The sequence below is a fragment of the Homo sapiens genome, chromosome 9, assembly GCF_000001405.40.
Source record: "Homo sapiens chromosome 9, GRCh38.p14 Primary Assembly".
Lineage (NCBI taxonomy): Eukaryota > Metazoa > Chordata > Mammalia > Primates > Hominidae > Homo > Homo sapiens.
The window spans coordinates 34,288,625-34,310,624 of NC_000009.12; the positions used below are offsets into that span (position 1 = coordinate 34,288,625).

A 22,000-nucleotide genomic window follows, 5' to 3' on the forward strand; every position below is an offset into this window, starting at 1 on the left:
ATATATATACATGAACCCCACAGGCCATGACACTTGTAGAGTAAGCATAGGTCTTCCCTAGTGAGCCTCAGAGAAGCATCAAACCCAAGAGTTAATATATGCCTATTCCCCTGCTACAACTGAGGAATGCAAATATACAGGGCAATAAAATAATCTGGGCAATTCATTAAAGAAATGCGTTCAGAAAGAGCTAGATATCCTAACCTCCCTTCACCCAAATAAACCACACACACACACACACACACACACACACACACACACACACACACAGCACAGTGGCTTTTATTCCATGGCAATTGTTCTTTAAGGGAAGTGGGCATTCTGACTGGAAAGGGCTCCTAATGAGGGCATTGGAGCTTGATGGAGAAGCTGTGATTGAGCTAATTCGAGACTTCAACACCAAGAAGGTAAAAAAGAAAGGCAACTCTTCCTCAAGCATCCCCAGAGTAGCACCCTCTTTTATTTCGCAGTTGTTTGGTCAGGACTGAATTCTGAACACCTATACAATCTCAAGTGGCATATCTGAAGGTCCCCTTTTCACTGGAATAGTTATAGGAGAGAGGCCTGCCTAAGCCCACTCGCTGGCTTCTCCAGTTATGCTACTCAGTACCCTACTGACCCTCTACAATGGGGGCCTGCCCTATCATGGTCTCCCTATTGAACTGGAACTGCTCCCCCACTCCCCATTCCATTGCTTGCTTGGAGCATGCAAAACTTGTGCATCCTTTTGGACAGCTCCATAGAGGCTTAGATACCTTTGTTGCCGGGCTAGTCTCAAGCTGATTAGGTTTCCCTAGTCTTCCAGGAGGCTCAGCCTCAATTCACTCCTCCAACATCTCAAATCTGGTTAATTCTGTTATGACAGCCTTTAATCCTTCCACCTCCCCCATTCCCTCTAACCTCTATTCTCCCATTTCCTCCACAACTTCTTTTGCCTCCTACTCAGTTTAAGTCATCTGTTTCAACCTAAACAAAACTTCATGCAAGAAAAATATAATAGGTGTTTAAAAGCAGAGTTACTGAATACATTTCTAAATTACTATATTATGTTGCAAGAGCAATAGTTTAAGCCTAACAAGGGTTAAAACTCTAAAGAGAAGATTTTCTTTTCTTCTTATTGATTTCAGAAAACTATCATGGTGTTTACCCTAAGATTATTTAGAGGAAAAACAAGAGAAAGTAGAAAACATTATTTATAGTTTTTCCAGTATAATAATAGGTCAAAAGAACAGGAAGGGGTTTAAGTACGTGTTGATTTCCTGACTTCCTGAAATTATGACCTTCTTCATAGACCAAAATAAAAGGGAAAGTCTTTTGATAGACATTAGAATATTGAACACTTTAAAAAATATTAATGAAAAGCTAATTTACATTTTCCTATAGCTGAATTGACAGCTAGAAAATATGTATCTGATGCAGGAGCCTCATTTCACAAAAGGGCACTAATGTACCAAAGCATCTCATTAAAGCCTATGATTCAGTGATTCTCCGGGACTCTGGCTTAAAATAGCGATGAACAGATTTATCGCTTCCCACTCATATTCAGTACCTTTTTCTTCTATTTAGGAGGTCATAAAGCTGTCCACAGTAAATTTCATAGAAGCTGATCCACACAAAGAGGTGCTTTCTTGGCTGGGACACTTCTAGTTGCCTGAAGATATCTTTGGCAGCTAGAGCATACAATCCTGGGTTCTCATGAGTTCCTATCATGGTGTAGGTCTTTCCAGCACCTGTCTGTCCATAAGCAAAGCAAGTGGCATTGCCTCTGGGGAAAGGATAATTTGCATTACTTATGCATATTAAGAGAAGTATTAGTTTACCCATAGATTTTTAATGACAAAGGTCAAATGTAAACATAGAATCTTAGAGAAAATTCAGCTATAAACACATAAACCTTTAAGGAGAAGAGGACTTTACATTATAAGAACACAGGAAGAGGAAAAAAAATTCTCAAACTACTACACAAGTTTTCCTTTTTTTTTTTTTTTGTTTTTTGAAATGGAGTCTCACTGTCAACCAGGCTGGAGTGCAGTGGTGTGATCTCCACTCACTGCAACCTCTGTCTCCCGGGTTCAAGTGATTCTCCTGCCTCAGCTTCCTGAGTAGCTGGAAGTACAGGTGTGCGCCACCATACCGGGCTAATTTTTGTATTTTTAGTAGAGATGGGGTTTCACCATGTTGGCCAAGCTCGTCTCGAACTCCTGACCTCAAATGATCTGCCCACCTCGGCCACTCAAAGTGCTGGGATTACAGACATGAGCCACCACACCCAGCCTGAGTTTTCTTATAGTAATTTTCTTACAGAACCAGTAAGAGAAACAACTCTAGAAGATAAAGAAACAAGGGCTTTAAAGAAACCACTTAGCCAATAAGCATTTACTGAATTCCTACCCCATGCTAGGTGCTTTAGAGGATCCTAGAGATGATCTACTATTAATCTGAAAAGTTAAATTTAGTGAAAGAATAGAGAATTAAATACGAGAAATAACAGGAGATCATGTGATAAGCAAGATGGTAGTGACCACTCATAATTAAGGAAGTTTAGATAAAGGGGAAATTGATGTAAGCAAAGTATTTGAGGAAGGACTCACAAGAGTAGGAATTGGGCTGGGCCTTGAAGGCAGAAGCTGAAAAGCAGAGAGCTTCCACTGTGGAATAGGAATAGCGTGAACAGAGGCCACAGTAGTAAAGATGGCAGCAGGCACACCAAATCTTGAGGGGAAAAAAAAAGCCTGGGCTCTGGTTTCTGCCCTACCATTAACTAACCATATGACCTTAGGCAAGTCCCTTCACTTTTCTCTGTGCCTCAGTTTTCACTTTTATCAGTAGATTAGTTTCTAAGTAGTAGTAGATTGGTTTCTAAGATCCCTTCCAGTTGTGATGCCCTATGATTCTAAGTGAGAATCATTGCTCTTGTATGTGGTTACATGTGTGCGTACACACCCTTTATGAGTGTGAAGAACTGCAGAATAAGAGGTGGAGAATGGAGTTGGGAGACCAGCCTGTCAATCACAGTATGTTTTACGAGGAGTTGGAGACCAAGATTATCTGAGTGTTGTGGGATTCACCCACACAGTGCTAAGTAGAGAATGAACATAATCTTAGAGCTGTTGCAGACTCTTAAACATGAATCTCATGGATTAATGATAAAAATAGCTGCTTGCAGCAAAAAAAAAAAAGTCTATGCATTGTGACAGGAAAATAAATCTCAGGACCCCGAACTCACTAAGCCAAATGGAAAAGTCAAGCTGGGAAATGGGTCCCGCAAACCTGCCTCCCATTTGGTTCCTAAATAAGATGGCTACAAAGATAAAAAGCTACATATCTCCCTCACATTTTGCCCACTAGGAAATTCCTTGTGGGCTCATGGTCTTCACCTTAAAACAGTTGTGTTGAATTTCACCCTGGCAATGTCAATTGATAGCTTATCTTCACACATGGAGGACACAGGACAGAACTCTAAGTCATCCCTCTGCTCACCTGAAATAAATGCATATTTGATGCTTCCTCTGCCCTACTGTTGTCTACATTATCTAATGTAAAATGCAGTTCACTGGGCCAGGTGAAACATGAAGAACTATTTTCTCCAATCCCCAATATGAAAATTGAGTATTCAGTGAAAGACTGATCAAAGACTCGAAAGGATGCAACTGTTTTGTCTTTTTATCTATTGAAACATTTAAAACATATTTCTTTTCCTCCAATATCCACCCTTTCCCCTGTAAATTTTTTTTCCTTTTCCTTTTATTATTTTTTCCCCTTTTATTTGCTCTCAGATCTTACCCTTTAAATACTGAAGCCCTCAAAATCGTCTTTGGAGAAAGGTATAGACCTGTCTCCTGGGCTTGCGTTCTTAACTTTGGCAAATAAATCTACAATGATTGAGACTTGCCTGGGTCATCTTCTTTGATTTATAGCATGGACAGGGATGGGGGAGGCTGGAGGTGGGCAGAGAGATGAGTACACAGAAAAGGATTTGAAGCCAGGTAGAAAACAAAGAAAGAGTAAAATGACAAAAGCAAGGGAACCATAGAAATGTGAGAATCAAGACATGGGAGTTAATTAGATGTAAGCTGCTTGGAGCAGAGACCAGCTACTCTTTGCCTTTTGAACCCTGGCTCCCAGCAGTGTGGGTACTATAAATACCGGCAGAGGCGGAGTTGGGAAATGAATTACAGGAGAAAAATTTGAACACACTAAGGAAGATCCAGCAGAGCAAGAGGAAAGAATAATATCTACTTTACTTTCTGAACAGTTTAGGGATGAGCTTTTTCAAAAAGCAACAATACAGGAGTGAAAAACCCTATTATACTTTAAAGAATGGATACACTTAACTTGCAACTCTTGTTATTACTAAAGTCTTAACATTCAAATTCTAACTTATTTTAGAAACTTACTCCTCAAAAAGCATTCCCTAGATTTGGTGCCCTTACTAAGAAATTGAACCTAAGAGATATTTCACATTTTTAGCCTTCTCATAAAATTTAAAAAATTAAATAGCTTTTACAAAACAACAAAGCACAAAAAAATGGGCAAATGAAGATATCCAAATGGTCAGTAAGGACATGAAAAGGGCCAGGCACGGTGGCTCACACCTGCAATCCCAGCACTTTGGGAGGCTGAGGCAGGCGGATCACTTGAGGCCAGGAGTTCGAGATCAGCCTGGTCAACATGGCAAGACCCCATCTCTACTAAAAATACAAAAATTTGCCAGGTGTGGTGGCACACGCCTACAATCCCAGCTACTAGGGTGGCTGAGGCACGAGAATAGCCTGAGCCCGGGAGGCGGAAGTTGCAGTGAGCTGAGATCGCACCACTGCACTCCAGCCTGAGTGTCAGTGAGACTCTATCTCAAAAAAAAAAAAAAAGGCCGGACGCGGTGGCTCAGGCCTGTAATCCCAGCACTTTGGGAGGCCGAGGCAGGTGAATCATGAGGTCAGGAGATCGAGACCATCCTGGCTAACATGGTGAAACCCCCGTCTCTACTAAAAAATAGAAAAAATTAGCTGGGCGTGGTGGCGGGCACCTGCAGTCCCAGCTACTCGGGAGGCTGAGGCAGGAGAATGGCGTGAACCCAGGAGGCGGAGCTTGCAGTAAGCCAACATCGCGCCACTGCACTCCAGCCTGGGCTGCGAGACTCCGTCTCAAAAAAAAGAACATGAAAAGAAGCTCAGTATCATCAGGCATTGGAGAAACTCAAATTAAACCTACAATGAGATTATTTAATACCCATTAGATTGGCTAAAATAAGAAAGCCTGACGATAGCAGATATTGCAGAACTACAATTCTCATGTTACTGTTGGGAGTATAAAATGGTACACTTTGAAAAGTTGTTTGACATTTTCCCTTTTTTCTCTTCTTTGAGACAGGGTCTTGCTCTGTTGCCCAGGCTGGAGTGTAGTGATCACAGATTATTGCAGCCTTGATCTCTTGGGCTCAAGCAACAACCTTCCAAGTAGCTGGGACTACAGGCATATGCCACCAAACCCAGCTAATTAAAAAAATTTTTTTTAGAGATAGGGTCTCACTATATTGCCCAGGCTGGTCTTGAACTCCTGGCTCAAATGATTCTCCCATCTCGGCCTCCCACAGTGTGAAATTACAAGCGTGAACCACTGTGCCCGACTGACACTTTCTTATAAATATAAACCTATCCTATGAGCCAGCAATTCCATTTCTAGGTTGTTACCCAAAGTAAATGAAAACATGCTCATAAAAAAAATTATACAAGAATGTTCTGGCCATCATGGAGAAACCCCATCTCTACTAAAAAATAAAAAATTAGCCGGGTGTGGGATTACAATCCCAGCTACTTGGGAGGCTGAGGCAGGAGAATCACTTGAACCCGGGAAGCAGAGGTTGCGGTGAGCTGAGATCGCACCATTGCACTCCAGCCTGGGCAACAAGAGTGAAACTCCGTCTCAAAAAAAAAAGAATGTTCATACTTTATTCATAAAGTCCAAAGCCGGAAACAATGCAAATATCTGTCAACAGGAGAATAGACAAAACAAAGTGTGATAATTTCATAGAAGGGAATATTACTCAGCAATGAAAACCACAGATACGTGTAACAACATGTACTAATATAAAACACCATTATGCTAAGCAAACATTATGTTAAGCATATAAGTATAATGATTCTATCTCTATGATATTGTAGAACAGATAAAACTAATCTATACTGACAGAAAGTAAGTCAGTGGTTACCTAAGACCTGGGGGTGAGGGTGGAGGATTAACTAAATAGGGACACAAGAGAACTTTCTGGGGTGATGAAAATGTTCCATGTCTTGTTACAGATATTTGTTACTCACGTATATAAAACTCTCAAAACTCATCAAATGTGAATACTTAAGATCTGTGCATCTTATTGTATGTAAATTATCCCTCAATTTTTAAAAAGTTGTTTGAAAAAACAGTCAAAATTCTCTGGAATCAGCAACACTAGCAGGCTACTTGGCATTTTCTATCATACATGCCTACAATTTTAATAGATAGGTAGGTAGATAGGTAGGTAGGTAGATTAGATAGGTAGGTAGATAGCTAGGTAGGTGGATTGGATGGATGGATAGACAGACAGACAGACAGACAGACAGACAGACAGAGGCAGGGTCTTGCTCTGTTGCCCAGGCTGGAGTACAGTGCAAGACCACAGCTCCTACAGCCTTGACCTCCTGGGCTCAAGCAATCCTCCCACCTCAGCCTCCCAAGTAGCTGGGACCACAGGTGCACATCACCATGCCTGGCTAATTAAAAAAAAAAATTTTATAGACCAGGCATGGTGGCTCACACCTATAATCCTAGCACTTTGGGAGACTGAAGCAGGAGGATTGCTTGAGCCCAGAAATTCAAGACTAGCCTGGGTAACATGGCAAAACCCCATCTCTAAAAAAATACAGAAATATTAGCTGGGCGTGGTGGCAGGCACCTGCAGTCCCAGCTACTCAGGAGGCTGAGATGGGAGGATTGCTTGAACCTGAGAGGCAGAAGTTGCAGTGAGCCAAGATTGCACCACTGCACTTTGGCCTGGGTGACAGAGTGAGACCCTGTCTCAAAAATATAAAATAAAATAAAATAAATATTTTTTGGTGTGTGTGGAGATAGGGTCTCCTTATGTTGCCCAGACTGGTCTCAAACTCTTGGGCTCAAGCTATCCTCCTGTCTTGGCCTCCCAAAGTGCTTGGATTACAGGTGCAAGCCACCACATGTGGCCCATGCCTATATTTTAAATACTTATGCAACAGAGGCCCTTACTATCATTCCTGTCCCATTCAACGTTTATTAAGTGTGAATAATAACTTAAAAATACATCTGGCCGGGCGCGATGGCTCACACCTGTAATCCCAGCACTTTGGGAGGCCGAGGCGGGCGGATCACGAGGTCAGGAGATCGAGACCATCCTGACTAACACAGTGAAACCCCGTCTCTACTAAAAATACAAAAAATTAGCCAGGCATGGTGGTGGGCGCCTGTAGTCCCAGCTACTCAGGAGGCTGAGGCAGGAGAATGGCGTGAACCCGGGAGGCAGAGCTTGCAGTGCACCGAGGTGGCGCCACTGCACTCCAGCCTGGGCGACAGAGTGAGACTCTGTCTCAAAAAAAAAAAAAAAAACATCTATGAGGCCGGGCGTGGTGGCTCACGCCTGTAATCCCAGTACTTTGGGAGGCCGAGGCGGGCGGATCACGAGGTCAGGAGATGGAGACCATCCTGGCTAACACGGTGAAACCCCATCTCTACTAAAAATACAAAAAAATTAGCCGGGCGTGGTGGCGGGCGCCTGTAGTCCCAGCTACTTGGGAGGCTGAGGCAGGCTGAGGTAGGAGAATGGCGTGAATGTGGGAGGCAGAGCTTGCAGTGAGCTGAGATCACGCCACTGCACTCCAGCCTGGGCGACAGAGCAAGACTCCATCTCAAAAAAAAAAAAAATACATCTATGAAAAATTGATAAGTGATATTCACTTATCTATCTGATTCCAAAGAAAAAATTAACTAAACTATAGCCAGAATACATAATTCCTATCATCAAAGTTCAGACTAACTCCAACCACCTGAACCTTTTTCTTCTGAGGACTTTGATGGGATAATATTGTTAAAAGCTTAATTTTTCTTTTTTTTTTAACACCCTTTCACTATCTATCACAATATATTTTTCCACTAGACACAGAGAAATAATATCATCAATGTAAGAGGAAATTTTACTGCAAATTTCTAAATCCTTGGTAAATCCTATAGAGATACTGCATGTTTTCAGAAGAATCTAAATTTATTAGCTCAAAACACAAATTCATGTTTAAGTCAAAAGTACTGAAAAGCATGTGATATTTATAAAGAAATATGGCCTAATGGAAAATAGAAAATAAAAAGCAAAAAAAGCAAATAATCATTATCGTACCCATTGAAAATATGCTGAATAAGTGGGTGAGTAGTCTTCATGTATACATCCTGATTGGTGCACGCCTCACCAAAGACTTCATCAAAATAAAAAACATGCTGAAAAATAAATTTGATTTTATGGAAAGAGACACATTCTGGATTTTCTTAATCACTATTCTAGTTAACAGATGATAAATGCCAAAATATGTCTTTAAGTAACAGTAACTGACCATATCAAACTTAGAGGTAAATAAGCAATCACTATTAAATGACAGGGCCTCCTCTTACTTGAGATCTCTGTAGACATGTTCTTACAAGGTAAAAACTAAGGCATACATTTTTTGTTTTCTCTTAAGAGAAGTAAATTGATAAACACAAGAGTGAGTCAATCCTCCTTAGGTCTAGGAGAGAAAGTGAATTCTATGGGGATTATCCTCGTATTCCAACTAAAGCTAGTATATTTAGAATTTTGGAGGAATTTGTGATCTGGCGCAGTGGCTCACGCCTGTAATCCCAACATTTTGGGAGGCCGAGGCCAGCAGATCACAAGGTCAGGAGATCGAGACCATCCTGGCTAACACGGTGAAACCCCATCTCTACTAAAAATACAAAAATTTAGCCGGGCATGGTGGTGGGCACTTGTAATCCCAGCTACTCGGGAGGCTGAGGCAGGAGAATGGCGTGAACCCAGGAGGTGGAGCTTGCAGTGAGCCGAGATGGCACCACTGCACTCCAGCCTGAGTGACAGAGCGAGATTCCATTTAAAAAAAAAAAAAAAGAATTTTGGAGGAATTCTAGGGGAAGATCTCAATTCTGTAGATTACACAGCTTAACTTTTAATTCCATAAATATTTATGCTCAGCTGGTAGCACATACATTGCAGTAGGCACTTGAAGGGGCCCAAGGATATAGACATTACCCTAGCATTTCCCTATCTTACCTCCTAAAAATGTTAATCTACACAAGTATGCAAATGACTGGAAGGTAGAAGAATCTTAAGATAAAGTACGTGTCGATTTCAAAGGAAAACATATTCTCTCTGATTATGAAAAAGACTATACTGAGAATGGACCACAGGGGAAGAAGAGGAATTTGAAAGGGAGTGATGGAAGGGGGGAAGGTATTCCAGGCACAGGGGAAGTATGAACAGAGTCAAAGCATAGAAGCACAAGGAATTAACTGTTTAATTAATTAATGTTTAGGGAATAGCAAGGATTCAATGTGATTGAAATACAGTATCACAGTAAGTAGAAAAGTGAAACAGAGGCCGGGCGCAGTGGCTCCACACCTGTAATCTCAGCACTTTGGGAGGCCGAGGCAGGTGGATCACCTGAGGTCAGGAGTTTGAGACCAGCCTGGCCAACATGGTGAAACCCATCTCTACTTAAATTACAAAAAATTAGCCAGGCGTGGTGGTGGGCGCCTGTAATCCCAGCTACTTGGGAGGCTAAGGCAGGAAAATCGCTGGAACCCGGGAGGCAGAGGTTGCAGTGAGCTGAGATCGCACCATTGCACTCCAGCCTGGGCAACGAGCAAAACTCCATCTCAAAAAAAAAAAAAAGAGACAGAATACTAGAATAATGAGTTAGGACTGTGTTGTAGGGGTCTTGGGACACCAGTCTTAACTGGGGGGCAGGATGCTCATATTTAATTCAGTAAATAGTGGGGAAACAATGAAAAACTAACTTTATAGGCAAGAAGGATGATTTCAGTCTTTACTGGAAGATTAATCTGGCTTCACACTATGAATGGTTTGAGAACAGAGACACTAGTAATTCAGTGGTGAGGTAAAAAGCATCTAAATTATTTGACAACCATGGAAATAAAGAGATGGATACAGAAGAAATTTGATAACTGACTAGAGGTGGGGAGCTGGGGAGAGAAAGGGGTCCAAGACGACTTCCAAATGAAAAATCACAGTAATTTGGAAAAAGACAGAAAAAAGACCCCATTACATTGGGTCTGAAAAGCATTAATTCAGCAGCTGTAATTATTTCCATAATTTAGGGGCTTACCATGTTGGTAGGTACAACTACATATATATATGTATGAATATATATCATTCTTATGTTGGTAGCTCGTATATATAGTATATATACACACATATATAAAAATATACATACATATATATTCTTATATACATATAGCCCAACTATACGTATATAATAGTAATATATATTTTGTTCATTGATTTTTTTTCTGAGATGGAGTCTCACTCTGTTGCCCAGGCTGGAGTGCAGTGGCATGATCTTGGCTCACTGCAACCTCCATCTCTTGGGTTTAAGCAACTCTCCTGCTTCAGTCTCCTGAGTAGCTGGGATTACAGGCGCCCGCCACCACGCCTGGCTGATTTTTGTAGTTTTAGTAAAGACGGGGGTCTCATCATGTTGGCCAGGCTGGTCTCGAACTCCTGACCTCAAGTGATCCGTCTGCTTCAGCCTCCCAAAGTGCTGGGATTACAGGTGTGAGCCCATGCTGGCTGATATATATTCTAATATATTATTTGCACCACCGCATTCTAGCCTGGGCCACAGATGAGACCCAGTCTCAAAAAATAAAAAAATTAAAAAAAAAATAAAAGTAACATGTATTTATAGAATATCTCTGGAAAGATACACTTAGAATAGGTAACCCCAATTGCCTTCATGGAGGAAACAGGATTAGAGGGACACTTGTATTTTACACTTTTGTACCTTTCTATTTCAAAATAGGTGAATCTATCCTATTCAGAGATATTTACTTTTTCATATAAAACTAACATGCAATAATATATATTCTTTTATATATATATAGCTGGGCTACCAAGATGTGTGTGTGTGTGTGTGCGTGTGTGTGTGTGTGTGTGTGTGTATAGTTGGTCTAATATGTAAGAATATATATATGAGAAATCCTAGTAATTTCAAGCCTGAGTATAGCATAATGACAGTCCATACACCATGAATGACAGATAAGGCCTTATCTTCTACTTTTTGGGCCTGCTCTAAATATCTAGTCAAGAAAAAATTTTATGGACAGATCCAGAAAACTGGACTTGGGCCAATTTACTGTGGGTCACTCTACCCCCAGTTTGAATCTGTTGTGTGTACCATTACATTACATTAGAATGGAAACTTGTTAGATTGTCTAAGAAGAAAGTGAGAACACAAATCCAAATCTACAAGTTAGAGAAAAAGTTACAAAGTAAGAAAATAATGAATCTGAAGAATAATAGATGTGTGAACTTTTAGTGCTTTGAAAAATGTGGTAAGATTTTAAGAACACTAAAATATTAATAACTACTGAAGTTGGGTGACAGGCACATAGAGAGGTCATTAAACTTTTGATTAAGCTTAAAAAGGTCAATAATAGTTAAACATATTTTTAAAATCTGGTGGTATTTTTTTTTTTTTGAGACAGAGTCTCACTTTGTTGCCCAGGTTGGAGTGCAGTGGCGTGATCTTGGCTCACTGCAACCTCCCACTCCCTGCTTCAAGCGATTCTCCTGCCTCAGCCTCCCAAGTAGCTGGGATTACAGTGCCCACCACCATGCCCAGCTAATTTTTTTGTATTGTTAGTAGAGACAGGGTTTCACCATGTTGGCCAGGCTGGTCTCAAGAGCTCCCGAAGGTGATCCGCCTGCCTCGGCCTACCAAAGTGCTGGGATTACAGGTGTGAGCCACTGTGCCCAGCCTAAAATCTGGTTTTAATGAACATTATTTATATCTATTTCATACACAGTTTCTAGGCAAGGAGACAAAATAATTCGTTGCTCAAATTATCACCATAGGTTTTTATAGTTAAGTATGAAATCCAAAACAAAGAAACCCACTAGATCTATAGTTATCTATAGATGTGGATATATTCGGCATTTCTCAAAAAAAAAAAAAAAAAAAAAAAAGAAAAAACCCACAACTAAAGTGGGAATACATTTTTTTGTTTCCTTTTATTACAGCGAGTATATGGCAATTCTGTCTCTCCTTCTAAAAGTGCTCATGGATAGCTTTAGCTTTTGAGTAAAGACCTTAGAAAGCATTTATTGATTAAGGGAATTAGTATCTTTCCTTCCAATAAGGTTTAGATATTGGTTTTCCCAGTACTTTTGTAAATATCTTTCATGAAAGATATGTAAACATGCAAGATTATTATAGTTAATGTATATACACAATTCATAACGTCCTTTGCATCACACACACTTTCATTTGCTCACACTTTATCAGTGAGGCTGGAGTAACACCTACGTTGACCTTACTAACCTTGACAGAATCAGAGTTCCACAGTTTATTTATTTTGAGACACAGTCTCCCTTTGTCACCCAGGCTGGAGTGCAGGGGTGTGATCTCGGCTTACTGCAACCTCCACCTCCCAGGTTCAAGCGATTCTCATGCCTCAGCCTCCCGAGTAGCTGGGATTACAGGCATGCAGCCACCACGCCCAACTAATTTTTTGTATTTTTAGTAGAGATGGGGTTTCGCTATGATAGCCAGGCTGGTCTCAAATTGCTGCCCCCAAGTGATCTGTCCACCTCGGACTCCCAAAGTGCAGTTTATTTTTTAAGTAAGTTTTTCTTCAGATTATAAAAGTAACATGTGGGCCAGGCACTTGTAATCCCAGCACCTTGAAAGGCTGAGGAGGGTGGATCACCTGAATTCAGGAGTTTGAGACCAGCCGAGGCAACATGGAGAAACCCAGTCTTTACAAAAAATACAAAAATTAGCCTGGCATGGTGGTGTGATGCCTGTAATCCCAGCTACTCGGGAGGCTGAGGTGGGAGGATCACTTGAGCCCAGGAGGTTGAGGCTGCAGTGTGCCATGACTGCACCACTGTACCTCAGCCTGGGCAACAGAACAAGACCCTGTCTCAGAAAAATTAAAAAACCAAAATTACAATAGAGAACAAAATATAGAGAATAGAGAAGAAAATAAAAGTATCCTTAAATCTAGGTGTTCAGCCACTGTTAACTTTTTGATGTATTTCAGATTTCAGTGTCATCTTATTTTTTCTATATATGTATTTTTTTTTCTTTTTTTTTTTTTTTGAGACAGAGTCTCACTCTGTCGCCCAGGCTGGGGTGCAGTGGCGTGATCTCGGCTCACTGCAAGCTCTGCCTCCTGGGTTCACGCCATTCTCCTGCCTCAGCCTCCCTAGTAGCTGGGACTACAGGCGCCTGCCACCATGCCTGACTAATTTTTTGTATTTTTAGTAGAGACGAGGTTTCACTGTGTTAGCCAGGATGGTCTTGATCTCCTGACCTTGTGATCCACGGCCTCGGCCTCCCAAAGTGCTGATTACAGGCATGAGTAATGCCAGCGCGGTGCCTGGCCTCTTTTTCTTTATTATTATTTTTAAGACAGAGTCTTACTCTGTCACCCAGGTTGGAGTGCAGTGGCACAATCACAGCTTACTATAGTCTCAACCTCCCAGGCTCAAGTGATCCTCCCACCTCAGCCTCCCGAGTAGCTGAAACTACAGGTACATGTCACCACGCTTGGCAATTTTTTTTTTTTTTGAGACAGAGTCTCACTCTGTTGCCCAGGCTGGAGTGCAGTGGCGCAATCTCAGCTCACTGTGAACTCTAACTCCCAGATTCAAGTGATTCTCCTGCCTCAGCCTCCCAAGTAGCTGGGATTACAGGTGTGTGCCACCAGGCCCAGCTAATTTTTGTATTTTTAAAAGAGACGGAGTTTCACCACATTGGCTAGGCTGGTCTTAAAACTCCTGACTTCAAGTGATCTGCCCCCCTCATCCTCCCAAAGTGCTGGGATTACAGGTGTAAGCCGCTGTGCCTCACCACCAGCTAATTTTTTTTTTTTTTTTCTGAGACGGAGTCTCCCTCTCTCTCCCAGTCTGGAGTGCAGTGGTGCGATCTCGGCTCACTGCAAGCTCCGCCTCCCGGGTTCACGCCATTCTCCTGCCTCAGCCTCCCAAGTAGCTGGGACTACAGGTGACTGCCAACACGTCTGGCTAATTTTTTGTATTTTTAGTGAGATGGAGTTTCACCGTGTTAGCCAGGATGGTCTCGATCTCCTGACTTTGTGACCCACCTGCCTCAGCCTCCCAAAGTGCTGGGATTACAGGCGTGAGCCACCGTGCCCAGCCTAATTTTTTTTTTTTAATTTTTACAGAGACAGGCTTTCACCATGTTACCCAGGCTGGTTTTGAACCCCTGGGCTCAAGTGATCCTCCTGCTTTGGCCTCCCAAAATGCTGGGATGCTAGGCATGAGTTACCATACCCAGCCTGTATTTTTTCTGAAGAAATTGGTTGTACAGGCAAGCAGAGGCCAGACCACGTAGAGTCTTGTTAAAACTTTAAAATTTTATTCTAAGTGCAATAAAGAGTCTTAAAGGATTTTAAGTAAAAAAGTATGTGTATTATTTAGCAACTATCCTTCTGTATTTTACCAACAGTATTTTAATAATCAAGTATGGTTGTTGCATTATTAAACAGATGCTTTTATAGTGCCTATCACAGTTAATAGCTTTCCTAGTACTGAACTTGGATTATGCTTGCCTGCCAGTATAAAGTACTGAAACTAACTTGTTAATGTCTTATGTAGGCTTTTGTACTCATATTTATAAATAAGATTGGTCAGGCCAGGCGTGGTGGCTCATGCCTATAATCCCAACACTTTGGGAGGCTAAGGCAGGTGGATTGCTTGAGCTCAGGAGTTCGAGACCAGCTGGGCAACACGGCAAAACCTCATCTCTACAAAAAATACAAAAATTAGCCAGGCGTGGTGGCATGTACCTGTAGTCCCAGCTACTCAAGAGGCTGAGGTGGGAGGATCATTTGAGCTCAGGAGATGGAGGTAGCAGTGAGCCAGGATCATACCACTGCACTCCAGCCTGGGCGATGGAGACAGATCCTGTCTCAAACAGACAGACAAAAACCATTGGTCCATAGCTTATTTGTGTGTTTGTTGGCCAATCTTACTCACTTTGTAATATAACATCTGCATTAGCTTCCATATTAAACTTGTATTCACTTACTGCCAATTTCAAAAAACTAGAATGAAACAATATGGTTTGTTTCCTTGTTTCACTCATTATATTGATATAAAGTTTAATGGTTTGGTAGGATAGCATACTACATGTATATGATCATATTTACTAAGTAACAAGATTTGAAAAGATAGGACATTTAATAAAACAAACACAAAAACCTATTATCTCTAAATATGTTTAAAAATAAAGCCCAAAGAATCTACGATCAATATTTATTTAGCACTCAGTTTGCTATAAACCTACCTTTTCTTCTTTCTATTTGAGGAAGAAAAAAGAAAAAGAAGTCTTCCCAGCATTTTTATATCATAGCATTGACAGGTAAGGATTCGGACCTATGAGAGCAAAGGTCCAAAGTTCAAACAGCAGAGAAAGTGCCATGGAAACTATGGGTATTCAATAAGTATTGACCAGTGGTAATGACAAAAAAAGTAAGGTTATTGTGTTTGGGGATAACAGAAAAATACGAAAGATAAGATGATGCCTCCTTGATGGAATTACTGTGACAGAAGCATCATTAAGGAAGTCTTAGGTAGACAGTGATTGGATAGGGCTATTACGATGGCTATAAGTAGCCATGGAACTAGATAGCATTACAACTAATTGGTCATTTAGTCCATTTTCAAAATAAATATCTCCCACTGAGAACTAATAGACCGTGCATTGATCAGCAATCGATAAGGCTGTTAAAGTGATTGGGTTGGTTTTACAGTGGCCTAGTAATTTAGTACCAGTAGAAAGACTCAGTGGATTACTCTGAATATCTCTGTGAAACACAATTTTGGTAACCAAAGAAAAAGAAGAACAATACAAGTTTGAAAAAGGGTGAAAGTGTTAACAAATCACTTCAGCATTAAAGGATTTATTCCACTAATGTAAGATCTCAGCTGACTAAGGTGAATTGCTAGCATACCAGATTTTTTTTTCTTCCTACCAGTCACTGGGTTTTGAGGCAAGAGAACAAGAGAGAGAGAAAGAATAAATATAATATGAATGTTTAGGGAAGTAGATTCAGAGTAAGAGAAACTGTGTACTCTCAAATCTTAACATCCAATGGATTATCTGGTTTTAGATTACTCACAATTTTTCACAATTTTAGGAGTACCTAAATGATGATTCTTTCCATCTGTGGAGTTTGCTGTTTCCCTATGAGACTAAAGAATTATTGCAAGGTACCTTCAGCTTGGAATAAGTTTCTTTCAATACCAAACTCTTTCTCCTTGGACTCTTCATAATCACTCTAGCAGGCAGTGAACATTATTTACATGGCTGAGTTATTAGTGTTTTATTTAAACCCTTATATGTTAGATGTGAAATCATATCTCTGGATTTTATTTACCCACTGCAATCTACCCTGTATAAAGTGGTCTGCTCAGAGCCCAATTTTCGCCAATTAAGTATAAGCCCAAGACAGCTGAGAATCAAAATAAGCACGTGGCTGGCAATTGTCGGTCCTGTTGCCCAAAAAGATATTGTCCATCATTAAACCCAAGTCTCAAAGTCAGCAGAATGAGAAGTTCACACTGTGAGATGCAAGCAAGAATGGAAATCAACTGTGTGACATCTCATAGTCATATATTCAGTGACTGGTCCTGTTGACAACTACTTAATTATTTATTTGTTTTTTATTTTTATATTCTTTTAGAGGCAGATCCTCCCTCTGTTGCCCAGGCTGGAGTGCAGTGGTGCAATCATAGCTCACTGTAATGCAGAACTCCTGGGCTCAAGTGATCCTCCTGCCTCAGCCTCCTGAGTAGTTAAGACTACAGGTACACACCACCATGCTGGGCTAGTTTTAAGATCTTTTCTGGAGAGACAGGATCTCGCTATGGTGCCCAGGGTGGTCTCAAACTCTTGGGCTCAAGTGATCCTCCCACTGCAGCCTCCCAAAGCACTGGGATTATAGGCGTGAGCCACCACACCTGGCCCCACTTCATTATTTAAATTATTTTTATTCCTTCATTCCTCCTTTTTTTTGCTGAATATGTATAATTAAATTCACACAAAGCATGTTAAGTGAATATATGATGTAGCTCCACTGCACAAGAGAAATTGTTTTTGTATCCCCTATTGCACCGTCTTTTGAAAAAATGAAGGCCCTGGATATCAATGACTTAATACAGTGTCACATCAGGAATGAATGTCAACACCCGAACCAGAAACTTGATTTTCAGTGTTCTAACAGAAACTTGTATGCCACCACTCAAACAAAAAGCAAAAAAAAATGACATACTTGATAATATTAGTTCCAAACATAAAACGAAAACATCATACCTGCAGAATATATTGAGTGAGGTCAACTGCTTCTTTCTTCTCATGCACAAGTAGAGTTTCTTTGTCTTCTACAGTAATAATATTAATTTCTCCACGACGTACCTCCCTCATGCCCAGGGGGCGTTTTCGAACACAAACTCTGATTTTCTCCATCTCAGTCCAAGGATTCTGTTTCTCTGAAGTGTTCTGTCTAATATGTTTATAAACAGGCTTTTAATTTTTAATAATAGGACAAGATTACTTAACAGGTCAAAGTATTGGTACCTTTTAGCCGGGCGCGGTGGCTTACGCCTGTAATCCCAGCACTTTGAGAGGCCGAGGTGGGCGGATCACGATGTCAGGAGATCAAGACCATCCTGGCTAACACGGTGAAACCCCATCTCTACTAAAAATACAAAAAATTAGCCAGGCATAGTGGCGTGCGCCTGTAATCCCAGCTACTTGGGAGGCTGAGGCAGGAGAATGGCGTGAACCCGGGAGGCAGAGCTTGCAGTGAGCCGAGATTGCGCCACTGCACTCCAGCCTGGGCGACAGAGCCAGATTCTGTCTCAAAAAAAAAAAAAGTATTGGTACATTTTGCTGTATATTAGGCATAATATATTTCTTAAAGTTACAAAGTAAAGTGTCAACCCTGAGAAAGTTCTTCTATCTCCATCCCCACCCTGCTCCGCCCTTTTCCTTGCAAAAACACAAATAACAGAACAACAACAAAAAACCAACCAACAAACAAAAAACCCCTAAGAGATCATATATAGAATACTATTTTATACAATTGTTTCATATCAATTCTGATTTCCTTAGCCCTCCAACTGGCTGCTGAAAAAAAATTTTTTTTGAGATAGGATCTCACTCTGTCACCCAGACTGGAGTACAGTGGCACAGCCATGGCTCATTGCAGCCTCAACCTCCAGGGTTCAAGAAATTCTACCTCAGCCTCCTAAGTAGCTAGGACTATAGCATACAACACCGCAGCTGGCTAATTTTTGTAATTTTTGTAGGGACAGGGTCCCACTATCTTGCCCAGGCTGGTCTTCAACTTATGGCCTCAAGCAATCCTCCCATTTTGGCCTGTCAAAGTGCTGGGATTACAAGCATCAGTCATCACGCTCAGCCTGGAGAATAATTTTTTTACTGGGATCTGAATTGGTTTAAAAAAAAAAAAACCAGCAAATAATTTTCTAATATAATGAATGCATAAAGCACTAATTTTATGGCATGTTTTAAAGCAAATTTTATTTTCTTAACCAACATTTAGGGACTTTAAAATGCATCATTTTTGCATGAAACTGCAGATGGAATAAATAAATGACAGAATAAATGAAATGTACCATTTTGAGGTACTGTGGGAAAATCGTGACAATCATTGAAACTGGATGACGGGCCAGGTGCGGTGGCTCACGCCTGTAATCCTAGCACTTCGAGAGGCTGAGGCGGGCAGATCACTTGAGGTCAGGAGTTCGAGACCAGCCTGGCCAACATGGTGAAACCCCATCTCTACTAAAAATATAAAACTTAGCTGGGCATGCTCACTTAAACCCAGGAGGTGGAGTTCACAGGTGAGATAGTGCCATTGCATTCCAGCCTGGGCAACAGAGCAAGACTCTGTCTGAAAAAAAAAAAAAAAAAAAGAAAAAAGAAAAAGAAATTGGATGATGGACATATTGGGATTCAGTGTTCTATTTTTTTCTTCTTTTGCATATGTTTGATTTTTCACAAGAAAAGGGAATTTTTTGTTTTGAGACAGGGTCTTGCTCTATCACCCAGACTGGAGTGCAGTGGTGCGAGCATAGCTCACTGAAGCCTCAACCTCCTGGGCTGAAGCCATCCTCCCACTTCAGCCAATAGTAGCTGGAACTACAGGTGCACACCATCATGTCTGGCTAATTTTTGTATTTTTGTAGAAACAGGGTCTCACCATGTTGCCCAGGCTGGCCTCGAACTCCTGGGCTCAAGCAATCTGCCTGCCTTGGCCTCCCAAAATGCCAGGATTGCAGGCATGAGCCACTGTGCTCATCAAAAATGAAAATTTTTAATGCTTTTTTTTTTTTTTGAGACAGAGTTTCATTGTGTCACCCAGGCTGGAGTGCAGTGGCACAATCTTGGCTCACTGCAACCTCTGCCTCCTGGGTTCAAGCGATTTTCCTACCTCAGCCTCTAGAATAGCTGGGACTGCAGGCACCTGCCATGACGCTCTGCTAATTTTTGTATTTTTAGTAGAGATGGGGTTTAGCCATGTTGGCCAGGCTGACCTTGAACTCCTGACCTCAGGTGATCCACCCGCCTTGGCCTCCCAAAGTGCTGGGATTAGAGGTGTGAGCCACTGTGCCTGGCCTAATGCATCATTTTAATAAGGGTTTTGTGTTAAAATCTTTAGTTGTTGGATATCAATAACCTAATCATATAAAGCTGATCAAAGAGGATAGAAAATGTTTGGTCCTTTTTAAAATTGTTCAGGGCTCTAGGATGACTCATATGAACAAAAGGCCCATAGTTTCAAGTTCAAGGAGCAAAAAGACATGCATGTTTTTTTAAAAAGCTCTAGTTTGGGCAGGGCAGAGTGGCTCTCACCTGTAATCCCAGTGCTTTGGGAAGCTGAGGTGGGAGGATCACTTGAGGCCAGGAGTTCAAGACCAGCCTGGGTAACATAGTGAGATCCCCAACTCTACAAAAAATTGAAAAATTAGCTGGGGACAGTGGTGCATACCTGTAGTCCTAGCTACTTGGGTGGCTGAGGCAGGAGGATCACTTGACCTCAGGAGTTTGAGGCCCCAGTGGACTATGACTGCACCACTGCACTCCAGCCTGGGTGACAGAGCAAGACCCTGTCTCTACAAATCAAACAAACAAACAAATAAACAAAAGAGTCAAATAAATGAAATGGTAATGGTTAAACTAAAATATCCATCCTATCCTTGATGGTGTTAAATAAAGTGGTATTTTTACTTATAAGTAATTCCAATTTAGATTTTTATGTACTGTTCAGTAAAAAAGTAATATTCAAGAAAATAGGCCAGGCGTGGTGGCTCACGCCTGTAATCCCAGCATTTTGGGAGGCTGAGGCGGGTGGATCACAAGGTCAGGAGATCAAGACCATCCTGGCTAACATGGTGAAACCCCACCTCTACTAAAAATACAAAAAATTAGCCAGGCATAGTGGCGGGCGCCTGTAGTCCCAGCTACTCGGAAGGCTGAGGCAGGAGAATGGCATGAACCCGGGAGGCGGAGCTTGCAGTGAGCAGAGATTGCACCACTGCACTCCAGCCTGGGCGACAGTGCGAGACTCCGTCTCAAAAAAAAAAAAAAAAAAAAGAAAATATTTACTCCTTCACCGCTGAGGTAACCAATGCAATAGCAACAATCTGCCTTCATAGTCAAGGAACAATCTATTCCTCTCAGAATTAAAAGAAGAAAACAGTATTACATGCTCTGTGATCTCCTAGACCAAACAAAATGTTTTCAGAAATATTATAATAAAAATTCACTTATGTATTTCAAATTATTAAAGATATTTTTACTGTTAAAACTGAGTCTTCTATTTTTATGGAGTAAAATAACTGATTATGAGATCTTCTGAAACCTTAGCCAATGTAAGACCAGATATAAATTCTTTATCTTAAGGTATGAATAACAGTATTTTTAAAAAGAAAATATGGCTCAAGAATGAATTTTGTTTGCCCATAACTCACATATATAATGTTTAAAATAAAACAAGGAGTACTTTTTTTTTTTTTTTACAAGATTAAAAGAACATATTTCCTATTATACCATTGTTAGTACTAGGGATTACTTGTTATTTCACCTCTTAGGGACCTTATTTCAAATTCTAACTCGAAGCACTAGGTGAAAATAACTTATTGTCACCCTGACTCTCAAACTCTCATCTCCACCAACAATGTCTTACTGTTTGTAATCACCAAAATTATCTGTTTTTTCCGGGGTTGAAATTGTAGAAAGCACTCAAAATTAGGATCATATTTCAATGTGTGTAGGTGAACTAACTGCCCCAAAGACCTACTTAATTAAACTACATGCCCTTGTTTTTTAACAAAGCATCTTTAAGTCTCCTGGTTGGGTTAAGTGAATTTGATAACCTTAAAAAAGTCCTGTGGATTGTGTAATTTTTTTCTCCACTGTAGAAGGGTTAACTATTTCACTTTCACAGATGTACTAGATGTATCATGTTACGCTATAATAAACAATAGAAACAGATCTGCTACAGATCCTGGCAAGTAGCAGCTGTTCTGATGTACATGAACAATATCATCTTTCTCCCACCTAGAAAGTCCCAATTTCTCATTAATTTTCCCACATCCAGGTATTCCTATTATTGATGCAAATGCTGTTCATGATAATTTCTGTTATATTCATTTACT

At 40.8% G+C, this 22,000-nt stretch overlaps 1 protein-coding gene across 9 annotated transcripts in view; it reads right to left on the reverse strand.

The window, feature by feature from the left end:
* The window catches only part of KIF24 (kinesin family member 24), an 81,292-nt gene that overhangs the window by 36,245 nt on the left and 23,047 nt on the right, over positions 1–22,000 (reverse strand). For 5 of the 9 annotated variants that reach the window (XM_011517863.4, XM_047423340.1, NM_194313.4 and 2 more), the window contains 3 exons: positions 17,628–17,817; positions 8,393–8,490; positions 1,550–1,765 (listed from right to left, as the gene is read on the reverse strand). In XM_011517863.4, coding sequence (XP_011516165.1) covers positions 1,550–1,765; positions 8,393–8,490; positions 17,628–17,817 — 504 coding nt within the window. Of the gene's footprint in view, positions 1–1,549; positions 1,766–8,392; positions 8,491–17,627; positions 17,818–22,000 lie in introns of those variants that run through there. The other 4 variants (XM_047423343.1, XM_047423342.1, XM_047423344.1 and 1 more) reach the window with 3 other exon arrangements.